General features: G+C 37.6%; 1 protein-coding gene across 4 annotated transcripts in view; it reads right to left on the reverse strand.

Moving 5' to 3' along the window:
* Nucleotides 1-4,836: 4,836 nt before the first annotated feature.
* The window catches only part of FBXO47 (F-box protein 47), a 30,972-nt gene continuing 19,359 nt past the window's right edge, over nt 4,837-16,449 (reverse strand). For 3 of the 4 annotated variants that reach the window (XM_011524866.4, XM_011524865.3, NM_001008777.3), the window contains 5 exons: nt 13,365-13,541; nt 11,995-12,141; nt 11,183-11,325; nt 6,978-7,137; nt 4,837-5,695 (listed from right to left, as the gene is read on the reverse strand). In XM_011524866.4, coding sequence (XP_011523168.1) covers nt 5,580-5,695; nt 6,978-7,137; nt 11,183-11,325; nt 11,995-12,141; nt 13,365-13,541 — 743 coding nt within the window. In that variant the 3' untranslated portion in view covers nt 4,837-5,579. Of the gene's footprint in view, nt 5,696-6,977; nt 7,183-11,182; nt 11,326-11,994; nt 12,142-13,364; nt 13,542-16,449 lie in introns of those variants that run through there. The other variant, XM_011524867.3, reaches the window with a different exon arrangement.

A 16,449-nucleotide genomic window follows, 5' to 3' on the forward strand; every position in this document is an offset into this window, starting at 1 on the left:
ACAAAATTAGCCGGGCAAGGTGGCACATGCCTGTAATCCCAGCTACTCAGGAGGCTGAGGCAGGAGCATCACTTGAACCCGGAAGGTGGAGGTTGTAGTGGGCCGAGATTGCGCCACTGCACTCCAGCCTGGACGACAGAGAGAGATTCGGTCTTAACAAAACAAAACAAAACAAAACACAAAACACAGGCTGGGAGCAGTGGCTCATGCCTGTAATCCCAGCACTTTGGGAGGCTGAGCTGGGTGGATCACGAGGTCAGGAGTTCGAGACCAGCCTGGCCAACATGGTGAAACCCTGTCTACACTAAAAATACAGAAAAAAAAAAAAAAAAAAAAAAACCTGGGCATGGTGGCACGTGTCTGTAAATCCCAGCTGCTCAGGAGGCTGAGGCAGAAGAATTGCTCAAACCCAGGAGGCAGAGGTTGCAGTAAGCCGAGATTGCACCATTGCACTCCAGCCAGGCGGCAGAGCAAGACTATCTCTCAAAAAAACAAACAAAACAAAAAACAAACACCGTAAGAGGCCGGGCACTGTGCTTCACGCCTATAATCTCAGCACTTTGGGTGGCCGAGGTGGGGCAGATCACCTGAAGTCAGGAGTTTGAGACCGGCCTTTCCAACAAAGTGAAACCCCAGCTCTACTAAAAATACAAAAATTAGCCAGGCGTGGTGGTGTGTGCCTGTGGTCCCAGCTACTCAGGAGGCTGAGGCAGGAGAATCGCTTAAACCTGGGAGGCAGAGGTTTCAGTACGACAAGATCGCACCACTGTACTCCAGCGTGGGTGACAGACTCTGTCTCAAAAAAACACTGTAAGATCTTATAGTCATGGGAAATTGCAGGTAATCCACAATATTTAATTACATATTTTATTTTTTGAAACTGATATTAAGCTATGATAATTGTAGCATTTCTAGTTTAGCAGCAATTGGAATATTCATTGCTTACGGATTTAATCACTGAATTAAATAGCAGAACAGTGCAGAATACTGTTCTATAGATTATTGTTTATGAGTTATTGCTAGTAAATGAAATTATTTAATTTTATATGTTAATATTAAGTGTAAGTATACACATACATAAATATACAGCTAATTACAATATTAATTTATATTAAGACATTTCATTTTTTTGATCATGGTAGAGCTATAATTAACAGCTTAAATGAAGGTAAGTTCCCCCACAAAAAGCTCAATGACTTGCATAATGACAAACTCTGAACAAGATGGAATGTTTTCAATTTTAACATAGTTTTATTAATATAGTAAATAAACAAAATTTAGCAAATATCAAATATTTAGTATCAAAGAAAATTTACCATAAAAAGAATACTTCTGAAATAGCAATGCATATTTTCGTTATACGCACCTTTAAGAAAGCAGTGATCTCAGAATGTCTACAAGTATTACTATTATTATTTTAATTTAAGAGTCTTTCAAAGGCCAAATTGTTGCGGTTTGTGGGGTTCTTTTTTCAGTCTCTAGTTTGAGGAATTTTCTGGAGTTATATTTTTCTTTTTTTTTTTTTCAATCTTGCCCTTAAATGCAATATATTTGTTTTCTTGATGAAAAGAATGCAATCTTAGTCCTTTGGAATTTTTTTTCTTTTTTAACCTGGAGAAGACTGTTCAATGCAGCTATCTTTCAGGTCACCTTTCCTAGCTTAGTAATGCCTCAAAAACCAAGGAGCATATGTCCATATCCTGATTTCTTACAGGTTTCACAGTTACCTGCTAGTGGAAGTGCTACAGAAGTCACGTTGTTAGTAAGATATCCAATAACCAAAGAGGCTTTTGTAATAGCCTTATTTTTACCCTTCACAATATTTATTGACATAAAAATCTGTAATCATACATTTGAGTACTATTTGCATAAGGAGGTTAACCTTTTAGTAATAATCACAAAGAGGTTAGTGTTTGTTATTCATTGACATAAGATGGTATTTCCAGCTGCACCTTCTGTTGGGTATCTCATAATTGGCATGAGCAGGAGTCCTCCAAAAAAGTGTTAAAGTTTCATAGTTTCACAAGATACAGAGAGCTTATCACAAGTTGTACATTTTCAATTAGTTTCTAAGGAAGATAGCATCATTAGTTTGTTAGTACTATTATGGTGCATGGTGTCTGTAGACATAATAATAAAGATAAAGATAATAATGTGTTATTGAACTTGCCTTCTACAGGGAGTAAAAAATCATTCTACAAATCAAAGTCAAAGGAGGCTGAGGAAAGCATTACAAAAACGAAAAAGGAGCTGGGCCCCCAGGTCTGCTAATTTAGGCCAATCTTTTTTTTTTTTTTGAGTCGGAGTCTTGCTCTGTCGCCCAGGCTGGAGTGCAATGGCGTGATCTCAGCTCACTGTAACCTCCGCCTCCTGGGTTCAAGCAATTCTCCTGCCTCAGCCTCCCAACTAGCTGGGATTACAGGCGCCCGCCACCATGCCGGGCTAATTTTTGTATTTTTAGTAGAGATAGGGTTTCACCATGTTGGCCAGGCTGGTCTCTTGGCCGGGCTTGTCTCGAACTCCTGACCTTGTGATCTGCCGCCTCGGCCTCCCAAAGTGCTAGGATTACAGGCATGAGTCACCGCGCCCAGCAGCCAATCTTCTACTTTAAAAAACAGTACAGGCTAAATTATCTGACTTGTTAGTACTTTACATAGTTATGTTGTTATGACTGTTCCAGAGTTAGTGAGAAATTGACAGTCTCCTAATGTTTTTAAACTATTCATTTTCCAAATGCTCTTTTTTTGTGACAATGACTGCCTATACCATCACTTAAACATTGATAATAATGGTAATAACAACATATGCTTTTAAAAGTTAATTTCCCCTTTAAAATTTGACATTACACTTTATTCTTCATGACAAAGGTATTCGGCAAAAAAGAATGGACCACTGAATTGAAAAAACTCCAAATTTGGTCATAAATGTTATTTGTATGTTTTAACAATTGAATGGACAATTTGTCAGCTTGCTTTTTATTGGTGGCAGAATGACACAGTTTATTTCCTGCACCCAAAGAATGAATCAAACTTTTTATGTTCCAAATTTTTGGTAAGATGATATAATAATCTCACAATTATTGAGAATAATGAAATAAATAATGTGAGGTTTTTTTTTAATTACAGCAGCAGTCATGTCAGTTCAAGTGAATAAAGAAGATTCAAAACCCAGACCAAATATGTTTTACATGCTTCTTTTGTAAACTTGCTAAAAATAATTGCTGTGGAGATGGATAATTCAAGGAATTCAAGGAAACTTTACAATGCCAAATTTCTTTCTCTAAGGAAATGAAATCTAGAATCCATTTAGTAAAATATTAAAAATATTCACTATTGCTGGGCATGGTGACTTACACCTGTAATCCTAGCACTTTGGGAGGCTGAGGCAGGTGGATAACCTGAGGTCAGGAGTTTGAGACCAGCCTGGCCAACATGGCAAAACCCTGTCTCTGCTAATGATACAAAAAAATTAACCGGGTGTGGTGGCACACACCTGTAGTCCCAGCTACTGGGGAAGCTGAGGCAGGAGAATAGCATGAAGCAGAGAGGCAGAAGTTGCAGTGAGCCAAGATCACACCACTGCACTCCAGCCTGGGCAACAGAGTGAGACTCCATCTCAAAAAAAAAAAAAATTCACTATTTATATTTGAATATTTTACTTTTTTTTCCTTATTTTTTCTTTCCCTCACAGATAGTTGAAGAGGTATATTCTTAACTTGGAATAATCAATGTTTTGATAGATCTATGCTTTGCAAGCATGTATAGGAAAAAAGAGAGGGGAAAATGAAAAAACTAAGGTATTATTTTATACTCTGGTATCTGCCAACTTTTAATCTTTGTAATTCAATTCCATTTATAATTCAACTGAAGGTGAATTCTTACATTGAGAAGAAGAAAATGAAATCAGGATAAAAGCAAGAACTTTGTTTTTGCATAAATATGCTAATGAAAAACTGGAGAAAAAAATTCCTGCCACCAATGGAATTACAGTTGGAAAATCCATCTAAGAAAGACAGTTAAACTTCTCACCTTCCAGAAATGAAGGTAAGTGCCTTTACTACTGAAGTACAATAAAATCCTGTTTTCACAATTTGTATTTTCTCCACAATTTTCACTCTTCCTCAGTCCTATTCATCTCTCACTGAGTCCCTCTTACCAAACATTTGAGAATTTCCCACAATTTACCCCCTACTTCTGCAGATACTTTCCATATCTTCTAGTGTTTCTTTCCTTCATCAGCTCCAAAGGTGAGTTAAATCAAGAGCTTGGGTAAAGAAGGCCAGCCTCTGAGAAGTCCAGGTGGAAGCAATGTGTCTTCAGAAGTAAAGTGCTCAAACCCAAGGAGAAAAAAATGGGATGGGAGATCCAGGAGGACTCCAGCATTATTTCAGCCCTGTCAAGTACTGTTACTATCTACTTTAATAGTAAAAGTAAAAGCAGGAGTGGCAGATGCTAGTCAGGCTGAAACAGTCCTGCAGCTTCTTGGAATCTATATACTTGAGAGAAGAGAACCGAACCCCACTCTCTCATGGGCTGCTGTAAACCACCCATACGTTTAGTTTCCTTTGTCAAATCTTGTTTTTTTGTTTTGTTTTGTTTTGTTTTGTTTAGAAACAGGGTCTCACTCTGTCACCAGGCTGGAGTGCAATGGTACAATCATAACTCACTGCAGCCTCCAACTCCTGGACTCAAGGGATCCTCCTGCCTCAGCCTCCAAAATTGCTGGGATTACAGGTGTGAGCCACTGTGCCCAGACAAATCTCACTTTTTAAGATAGGGAGAAAAGCTTTAGGAAGAAGTAAAAACTATTTGTAAAGATTATTCTGGCAGCAGAATCGCTATTTTCTTTCATTTTATTTTTCTCTTATTTGCTACATTTTATTTGAATCCCCAGTAAAAGATGATTTGATTGCATTGAGACAATATATACCTTCCTGTATGTATAGACCTTTTGTATGATTACCTTAAAGAAGGAAATATATGTCTGTGTGTGTGTGTCTATATATATATATAGACATATATGTATACTTTGTTTTTTATCCATTAGTTCATGTAAAACATGAACAAAATATAATGTTCTTTGTAAGCATATGCCAAGAAGGTAGTAAAAACTGTGATTTGTATTCTACACATTCCAAAACACCATATTGCAAATCTTCACAAAACATTCTGGGCTATGTCTATACAACTTAAACAAAGTGAACATACACACTATTTAGTGAATTTGGGTCTAACTATAAAATGGAATTTTCTCTTGCTTCAAAAATGCATACATACAGGTTGGCTGGTCCCAGATTCTTGAACAGCTAACATTCTATTTTGGTTTGGTGTTAGGTTGACTAAAACCCGGAGAGGCAGAGCTTGTTTTCCAGAGAAATCTCAGCACATTCTTGAGGCTGCCTGTTATTTTTATATTAATAATGATGTACGTAGTTGCTTCTAAAATTCTATCCAGCTTTTGAATTCTTAGGTTACTTAGATGATAAAAAGTCCCATGGATGCTATTTTTTGAGTGAAAAAGTAGCACTCCTCTAATCATTCGTTCAGTGACGTTCTCTAAAGGCAAGGCTTTCTGAGGATTTAGGTAGACAGAGGAGTATTCATGGTCAAATACAGGACCTCCTTATGGAAGTTAGCCTGAGCATGTACAAGATGGAACAAATTCAAAAAGCTTCTGTCATCTTCATCACGGTCTCCTATATGCCATACATAGTGGGGAAAAGAAAATGACAGTTAAAATGTTAAGTATATAATTTATTTTATTAATTAATTTAATTTTTGAGACACAGTCTCCCCCTGTTGCTTAGGCTGGAATGCAGTGGTGCCATCTCGGCTCACTGCAACCTCTGCCTCCTGGGTTCAAGCAATTCTCCTGCCTCAGCCTCCCGAGTAGCTGGGATTACAGGCATGTACCACCACACCTGGCTAATTTTTGTATTTTTAGTAGAGATGAGGTCTCTCCATGTTGGCCAGGCTGGTTTCAAACTCCTGACCTCAGGTGATCCACCCGCCTTATACGTATATAATTTATTTGAAACATAAGATGTTCTAATTTTCCCTAGTAATATTTATTTATTTATTATTATTTTTTGAGACAGCGTCTCCCTGTGTCGCCCAGGCTGGAGTGCAGTGGCACAATCTTGGCTCACTGCAAGCTCCACCTCCTGGGTTCAAGCGATTCTCCTGCCTCAGCCTCCCGAGTAGCTGGGACTACAGGCGCCTGCCACCACGCCCAGCTAATTTTTTTGTATTTTTAGTAGAGACGGGGTTTCACCGTGTTAGCCAGGATGGTCTCGACCTCCTGACCTTGTGATCCACCCGCCTCGGCCTCCCAAAGTGCTGGGATTACAGGCATGAGCCACCTCGCCCAGCCTTCCCTAGTAATATTTAAACAGGAGACTTTTTGTTAGTGACTTTACTAAGTCAAGTTAACTACTGAAATCATGGAATTATATAAGAAAAGTAGATTAGAAGTCAGAAGAAAAGGATGCTCATCCATGCTTTATTGCTTCTAACTTTGAGACCTTGGTAAGTCAGGTAACTTCTCTAAGCCTTAGTTTTCTCATCTGTAAAATAGGGTTAATTATCATGTTGGTTACTTAATAAAGCTGTAAAATAATATTTACAAATATATTTTTATGCTAGTGACAGTTGGTAAGTGAGCAAGTTAAATTTTTTTGCTGTGCAAAATTGAAAGTGGTTCCTTTCAAAGCAGACTCTTCAACTTTATATTCTCCATTAAAACCAATACCAGATTTTTAAAGTGACGAAAGCCAGGAACTAAATATATTGCAAGGAAAAACAAACAAAAGTCCGCTTCCTCTACTTATTGTTAGTTTTTATTTTTTAAAGTCAACATAGAAATAGCTTTTTTTTTTTTTTCCATTCTTGGACTGTTAGAGAAAAATATCTCTGTTTTAGGTGGAGACTAGAGCGCATTTTTACGCACACCTGTGCACCAAGTACATTCCTACTCACCAGACATAATTGATTGCAGCATTTCCATTATAACACATGCAAATGCATTTGCCACATTCTGCAGGAAGTTCTTTCTTTCCACTGGAGTGCTAAAGACTTTGCAGACTTTTTGCATCATTTTAACTGTCCAATCCATGCAGTACAGTTCTTTCTCACACACCTGATTTAGACATATAAAGCGCTATAAACCTTCATGTGAAGAAAGCTATAGAATTTGAAAATGGTGAACAATGATGAATAATTATAGTTTGTGATTTTACATAATTTATGATACCTGACACCATACTGAGTCTATACATGGGAAATGCTCTTCTATCTAATACTATTTTGCTTTCAAATGGTACAATTTTAATGGGAAAAAAGTATGAAGTAAATACAAGCCTAATTTAAGATTATCATAGAAGAATATTTACTAATGAAATAACTAATATTGAAAACAGGCCAGGCACGCTGGCTCATGCCTGTAATCCCAGAACTTTGGGAGGCCAAGGTGGGCAGATCACCTGAGGTCAGGAGTTCGAGACCAGCCTGGCCAAAATGGTGAAACCCTGTCTCTACTAAAATACAAAAATTAGCCAGACATGGTAGCGAGCACCTATAATCCCACCTACTCAGGAGGCTGAGGCAGGAGAATCACTTGAACTCAGGAGGCGGAGGATGCAGTGAGCGGAGATCATACCACTGCACTCCAGCCTGGGGGACAGAGCCAGACTCCATCTCCAAAAAAAAAAAAAAAAAAAAAAAAAAAAAAATATATATATATATATATATATGTATTGAAAACAGTTACTGAACATAGAAAAAAAATTTCTGCTCATTTACTCATTCAATAAACATTTATTGAGCACCTGCTAGGAGCTGAAGATACAATGACAAACCATAAAGACATGGCTCTATTTTCAAGAAGTCCAATGAAGGTGATAGACAAATGGGCAATTTCAATAAGCAAGAGAATTCTATGGTATTGTCGACTTTCCATCTTGAGAATTTTAGGGAATATTTGTTTCTTCATTATTGAAAAGATAAATATTTAAAGATTACATGTTCCTAGCTAAAACTGACTGAAAAGTAAAAGGTTTCTTTTTTTTTTTTTTTTTTTTTTTTTTGAGACGGAGTCTCACTCTGTCGCCCAGGCCGGACTGCGGACTGCAGTGGCGCAATCTCGGCTCACTGCAAGCTCCGCTTCCCGGGTTCACGCCATTCTCCTGCCTCAGCCTCCCGAGTAGCTGGGACTACAGGCGCCCGCCACCGCGCCCGGCTAATTTTTTGTATTTTTAGTAGAGACGGGGTTTCACCTTGTTAGCCAGGATGGTCTCAATCTCCTGACCTCATGATCCACCCGCCTCGGCCTCCCAAAGTGCTGGGATTACAGGCGTGAGCCACCGCGCCCGGCCAAGGTTTCTTTACTAACATCCTTAATTGCCAATCTAACTCACATAGCCAAATAAATAATGCATATTATTAAAATAAACTGTATAGTAGTGTAACTAAATAATAGCACTGTGATAGGAAAGATCTATTGACTATTTATTATGTGTAAAGCACTGTATTATGAACTATGAAAGAAATAAGTGACACAGTACTGGATTTCAAAGAGCTTGCAGTCTATTTTGGGAGATGACCTACTCCACACATACAGTGGCTTAAGGACACTAATAGTAGATGAAGATAGAGAAGACAAATCAGAGGTAATTCAGAGAACTTTAATGATCAGAATTGACATGTTAATCAGAGAAGGCTTTCTAGAGAAGGCTTCCCCACCCCTAGTGATTTTCTCTTCATTACATTTGCTATAGTGCTGCCAAAATGATCTGCCAAAAACACAAAGCCAATTATGTCTCTCCCCTTCATAAAACTTTTCAGTAGCTCCCTATTAGAAAATGGGTTCAAGCTCCACAGAATGGCCCACAAAACCCTTCCTTACCTAGCCTCTCCCTTCATGTCTAACCTCACCTCCTGCTACTCTTCTGCAGATTCTACCCTTCAGAAATCATACTGAACTGCTTACAGTGTCCTGAATACAGTCACATGATCCCATTTTTCTTCTGCCTTGAATAATCTGCTGCCACCCTCTATCTGCCTGGTGAACTCCTACTTATTCATTTACTTATTTATTTTTTAGAGACAGGGTCTCCCTCTGCTATGCAGACTGAAGTGCAGTGGCGTGACCATAGCTCACTGCAGCTTCAAACTCCTGGGCTCAAGTGATCCTCCTGCCTCAGCCTTCTGAGTAGCAGGGACGATAGACACACACCACCACACCCAGCTAGTTTTATTTTATGTTTTGTAGAATTGAGGCTTTCCCTATATTGCCCAGGATGGTCTTGAATTCCTGGCTTCAAGTGATCCTCTGGGCTCAGCCTCCCAAAGAGCTGGGATTATAGACATGAACCAATGCACTCAGCCTTTTATTTAAGTAATTTATTTTTTGAGATGAGATCTCATTCTGTTGCCCAGGCTAGAGTGCAGTGGTGCTATCTTGGCTCACCACAGCCTTGACCACCCAGACTCAAGTGATCTTCCCACTTCAGCTCCTGAGTAGCTGAGCTCACAGGCACGCATGCCACAACTCCTGGCTAATTTTTAAATTTTTTATTATTTATTTATTTATTTTTTTGAGACAGCATCTCACTCTGTCACCTAGGCTGGAGTGCAGTGGCATGATCTGCTCACTGCAACCTCCGCCTGCCAGGCTCAAGTGATTCTCCTGCCTCAGCCTCCCGAGTAGCTGGGATTACAGGCACCTGCCACCACACCTGGCTAATTTTTGTATTTTTAGTAGAGTTGGCATTTCACCACTTTGGCCAGGCTAGTTTCGAACTCCTGACCTCAGGTGATCCGCCTGACTCAGTCTCCCAAAGTGCTGGGATTACAGGCATGAGCCATCATGTCCGGCCAATTTTTAAACATTTTTATTATAGAGACAGGGTCTTGCTGTGTTTTCCAGGCTGCTCTCGAACTCCTGGGCTCAAGAATCTCATAATTTATGGCCCATAGTAAGCACTCAATACAAATTTGTGTTAAATGAATATTAAATAAATATAATATTATATATATATATATATATATATATGTATGTGTATATGTATGTGTGTGTGCGTGTGTGTGTGTATTGAGAGGGGAGAGGGTCTCGTTCTGTTGCCCAGACTGGAGTACAGTGGCACAATTTTGGTTCACTGTAACCTTAAACTCCCAGGCTCAATCAATCCTCCCACCTCAGCCTCCTGAGTAGCTGGGACCACAGATGTTGCCAACACACCGAGCTAATTTTTGTATTTTTTTGTAGAGACGGGTTTCGCCATGTTGACCAGGCTAGTCTTGAACTCCTGGACTCAAGTGATCCTCCTGTCTCAGCCTCTCAAAGTGCTGGGTTTATTACAGGTGTGAGCCATCCCGTCCGGCCTAAATATATTTTTAAGACTTTTTATTTTGAAACATTTTGACTATACAAAATTAGAGAGAATAATATAATAAACTCCCAGTACTCATTTCCCAGTTTCAACAATTATCAATCTTATTTCAACTCTATCTCCATTTACTCCCAAGTCCTCTCCCCAACCCACCCCCACAGTGATTATTTTGAAGTAAATCAAATGGGATGCTTTTTTTAACATGGAATTTTTTTTTAAAAAGAATATAACTTAGCAGAACTGTATAATGAAAATCCAGACTTGAAGTGGGGAGAAGTTAATAGAAGGGATGATTCCAAATATTATAGTTTATGACATGTTTTAATATTAGGCCAGGTGTGGTGGCTCACACCTGTAATCCCAGCACTTTGGGAGGCCAAGGCGGGCAGATCATGAGGTCAGGAGTTCGAGACCAGCCTGGCCAGCATAGTGAAACCCCGTCTCTACTAAAAACACAAAAATTAGCTGGGGCATAGTGGTGCATGCCTTTAGTCCCAGCTACTCAGGAGGCTGAGGCAGGAGAAATGCTTGAACATGGGAGGTGGAAGTTGCGGTGAGCCGAGATCGCACCACTGCACTCCAGCCTGGACAAAAGAGTGAGACTGTCTCAAAAAACAAAACAAAACAAAAGAAAACATATGTTTTAATATTTTGAAAAAGAAACATTAAAAATATATACTTCAATACTCATTTTTACAAAATCTTTTGTCCACATTTCAGTTCCTTCAGGGCAGCTCCCTGTAGGTCAATTGTAGTGTTAAAAAACTTGCTAGAGAAAAACTTATTTTTACTTACCAAAGCCAAAAAGACTACGAGCCTTGCCAGTTCAATGGTGCGTCCATTCACAGCTTTACTAGCCATGAAACTGAAACAGATGTTGTTTCCACTTAGCATTAGGAGACGTGCATTATTCTCTAGAAGCCACTCACGGGGAACCACTTTTATTAGAGGAAGAACAATTATTTAATGAGAAATCACACAACAGCTATAGTAAATACCATTAAGTACATGCAATATTTTATCTTTATTGGAAATACAATTAGTGCCAAGGGAAATGCTCAGAAAAAAATGCTCTAGTTTTCCAATTATGGCATTCAGTCAGAGACAGGTTATTGCCATGTCATGGAGGCTCTTACAAATGTACTAATAATATAAACAAAGCAATTCTCCTACACATAGGTCAGCAGGCAAAGTGTTCTAATCCTGTGCAAGGAAAGCATCCTTGTAAACTTTAGAATCTAAAGGATTATGCAGGAATAGGAATAATTGTTTCACCTTTCCTTTACTCACAGAAGAGGGCTTTTTACAGAACCTAGGAGGGTGTTTCTGAGAATTTACAACATGGGAGTAATTGAGCTAATTAAATGAAGAAGCTTTCAAATAATAATAATAATAAATGTTTATTTATAAAATTGGCAAGCAAAGGAAAGTAAGTTGATTATATGCATTCTCTTCAAACATAATGCCAAACTCTTTAAATATTTTAGAGCATTCAGTGATTTCCAACAGGCACATCATTTGTTACCTGTAGAATTATCCTTATAATTTTATAACTGCATTTTAACAATAAATTTCTATTATTCTATGTTAGTAAATATATTTTTTACCTGATAGTTCATCTACAAGACTGATAACATCATCTGCTGTCCACTCTTTAGTGCTAGCGTCATATAGTAACTTAATGGCATCAGCCAAACCTTTCAGACTGAATTCATCTGTAGGTTCTTCTATCATTTCCTGCCAAACCACCTGTCCTGAATTGAAACAAAAACGAGGCTATGACAGAATAGTTGGCTTTGTGATAAAGACTTGTTTAAAAAGGAAAGTGAATTGCACAATGGAATCCCATTACTTATACAAGCTACTTTCATTTTAACTTTTGAAACAAGAAGTCAATTCTGGTAATAGTATAGATTTGAACGTCTCTGGCCGGGCGTGGTGGCTCATGCCTGTAATCCCAGCACTTTAGGAGGCCGAGGTAGGAGGATCACTTGAGGTACGGAGTTCGAGACCAGCCTGTGAAACCCTGTCTCTACTAAAAATATAAAAATTAGCCAGGCATGGTGGTGCACGCCTGTAGTCCCAGCTACTCAGGAGGCTGAGGCACGAGAATCGCTTGAACCTGGGAGGCGGAGGTTGCAGTGAGTGGAGATTGGGCCACTGAACTCCAGCCTGGGCAACACAGCGAGACTCTGTCTCAAAAAAAACATGTGTGTGTGTGTGTGTGTGTGTGTGTGTGTGTGTGTGTGTGTATGCTTCTTGGCCAGGCACAGTAGCTCATGTATGTAATTCTAGCACTTGGGGAGGCCAAGGTGGGAGGATCACTTGAGCCCAAGAGGTTGAGAGCAACCTGGGTACCAAAGTGGGACCCTGCAGGAGATCGAGACCATCCTGGATAACACGGTGAAACCCCGTCTTTACTAAAAATACAAAAAACTGGCCAGGCGCGGTGGCTCACATCTGTAATCCCAGCACTTTGGAAGGCCGAGGTGGGAAGATCACAAGGTCAGGAGATCGAGACCATTCTGGCTAACACGGTGAAACCCCATCTCTACTAAAAATACAAAAAATTAGCCAGGCATGGTGGCAGGCGCCTGTAATCCCAGCTACTCGGGTGGCTGAGGCAGGAGAATGGTGTGAACCCGGGAATTGGAGCTCGCAGTGAGCCGAGATTGCGCCACTGCACTCCAGCCTGGGTGACAGAGCAGACTCCGTCTCAAAAAAAAAAAAAAAAAAAAATTAGCTGGTTGTGGTTGCACGCACCTGCAGTCCCAGCTACTTGGGAGGCTGAGGCAGGAGAATCGCTTGAACCCGGGAGGTGGAGGTTGCAGTGAGCCATGATCGCACCACTGTGTGCGTGCATGCATGTGTGTGTGTGTGTGTGTGTGTATAATATATGCTTCCTAAATATATATATGCTTCCTAAAGTAAAAATAATGAACCAGTTATGTTACAACCCTGAAAGATGGGTGCTCACCATCTTGAGGAGATATTGGCCCAAAGATGATATACAGTAATCTTGCCTGATTCACCATTGGCCATGGTTTTAATATTCGCGTCAACCAAAAAGCAGAATCACTTCGATGTGTCCAATGATCAAGGAGGACATTCCTACAGAAGAGTCTGATTCTTAACTCCAGTTTTTGGGCACTTCCTATGAAGACAAAAGAATTGTAAATCATTCTTCGTAGAAAGGCTGCTGTGCATATTGAATAGTGATCAAAGCAACTTATTAATCATTATGGTTAGTGATAGTAAACTAGGTTTCTAAACAGGAAGTAACCAAGAGATTATCTATTCTTAAACTCCCCTAACTTCATAATTTGTCTATCTACTTACTTACTTTTACCTTCCTGATTTATAGTCAATATTTTGAATAATGGGTCAATCAATCAAAAGACATGCTTAAGCTTACCAGACTCTTGTACAATTTTGGATTTAAAAAGAAATAAATGCAGAGAAAGGTCAAAGACATATATCATTAATATACTTTGTACTGAAAGTGTCACTTCATTTTCCTCTATGAAAGTTTTATGGCAGGTGTGGTGACTCTTGCCTGTAATGCCAGCACGTTGTGAAGCCGAGGTGGGAGGATCACTTGAGGTCAGGAGTTCAAGACCAGCCTGGCCAATATGGCGAAACCCTGTCTCTACTAAAAATACAAAAAAAATTGGCCGGGTGCCGTGGCTCACACCTGTAATCCCAGCACTTTGGGAGGCTGAGGCGGGCAGATCACGAGGTCAGGAGATCGAGACCAACCTGGCTAACACGGTGAAACCCTGTCTCTACTAAATATACAAAAAATAAGCCGGGAGTGATGGCGGGCGCCTGTAGTCCCAGCTACTTGGGAGACTGAGGCAGGAGAATGGCGTTAACCCGGGAGGTGGAGCTTGTAGTGAGCCAAGATCGTGCCACTGCACTCCAGCCTGGGTGACAGAGCGAGACTCTGGCTCAAAAAAAAAAAAAATATATATATATATATAAATATATAAATATATATACAAATATATAAATATATATAAATACATAAATATAAAAATATAAAAATATATATAAATATATATAAAATATATAAATACATAAATATATATTTATATATAAATACATAAATATATATTTATATATAAATACATAAATAAATATATATACATATATAAATATATAAATACATAAAAATATATAAATATATAAAAATATATATAAATATATAAAAATATATATAAATATATACAAAAATATATATAAATATATACAAATATATATAAATATAAAAATATGTATAAATATATATAAAAATATATATAAATATATAAAAATATATATAAATATATAAATATATATAAATATATAAATATATATAAATATATAAATATATATAAATATATAGATATATATATAAATATATATATCTATATATAAATATATAGATATATATATAACTATATAAATATATATGAATATATATAACTATATAAATATATATGAATATATATAACTATATAAATATATATGAATATATATAACTATATAAATATATATGAATATATATAACTATATAAATATATATGAATATATATAACTATATAAATATATATGAATATATAACTATATAAATATATGAATATATATAACTATATAAATATATATGAATATATAAATATATATAAATATATATGAATATATAAATATATATAAATATATATGAATATATAAATATATATAAATATATATGAATATATAAATATATATAAATATATATAAATATACAAATATATATAAACATATAAAAATATATATAAACATATAAATATATATAGATATATAAACATATATAAATATATAAATATATAAATATATATAAACATATAAAAATATATATAAATATATAAACATATATATAAATATATATATAAACATATATAAATATATATAAACATATATAAACATATAAATATATATAAACATATATAAATATATAAACATATATAAATATATGTAAATATATATAAACATATACAAATATATGTAAATATATATAAACATATACAAATATATGTAAATATATAAAAACATATATAAATATATATAAACATATATAAACATATATATAAACATATATATAAACATATATATATAAACATATATATAAATATATATATATATAGTAGCCAGGCAGCGGCAGTGGCACGTGCCTTTGATCCCAGCTACTCAGGAGGCTGAGACAGGAGAATCACTTGAACCCTGGAGATGGAGGTGGCAGCGAGCTGAGATCTCACAACTGCACTCCAGCCTGGGTGACAGAGCTAGACTTTGTCTAAACAACAACAAAAAAAGAAAATGTTATGTTGCTGTTGTTGATAGACATGGGGTCTTGCTCTGTCACCCAAGCTGGAGTGCAGTGGCATGACTGATCATAGCTCACTACAACCTTGAACTCCTGAGCTCAAGCAATCCTCCCACCTCAGCCTCCCTAGTAGCTGGGACCACAGGCTAATTTTATTTTTTGTAGCGACAGAGGTCTCACTATATTGCTCAGGCTGGTTTTGAACTCCTGGCCTCAGATGATCTTCCCACCTTAGCCTCCCAAAGTGTTGAGATTACAAAGCATGAGTTACCACACTCGGATATAAAAATTTTAGATTAACGGCCAGGCGTGGTGGCTCATGCCTGTAATCCCAGCACTTTGGGAGGTTGAGGCGGGTGGATCATGAGGTCAGGAGATTGAGACCATCCTGGCTAACATGGTGAAATCCCGTCTTTACTAAAAATACAAAAAAATTAGCCGGGTGTGGTGGCGGGCACCTGTAGTCCCAGCTACTTGGGAGGCTGAGGCAGAAGAATGGGTGTGAACCCGGGAGGCAGAGCTTGCAGTGAGCTGAGATCATACCACTGCACTCTAGCCTGGGCGACAGAGCCAGAATCTGTCTCCAAAAAAAGGAAAAATAAAAAATTAGATTAACATAGGACTACTTTTTCAAAAGCTTTACTGAGATATAAATCACATACCATACCATTTACCCATTTAAAGTGTACAATTCAGTGGTTTTTAGTATATTCACAGA

Source organism: Homo sapiens, chromosome 17, assembly GCF_000001405.40.
Source record: "Homo sapiens chromosome 17, GRCh38.p14 Primary Assembly".
NCBI lineage: Eukaryota > Metazoa > Chordata > Mammalia > Primates > Hominidae > Homo > Homo sapiens.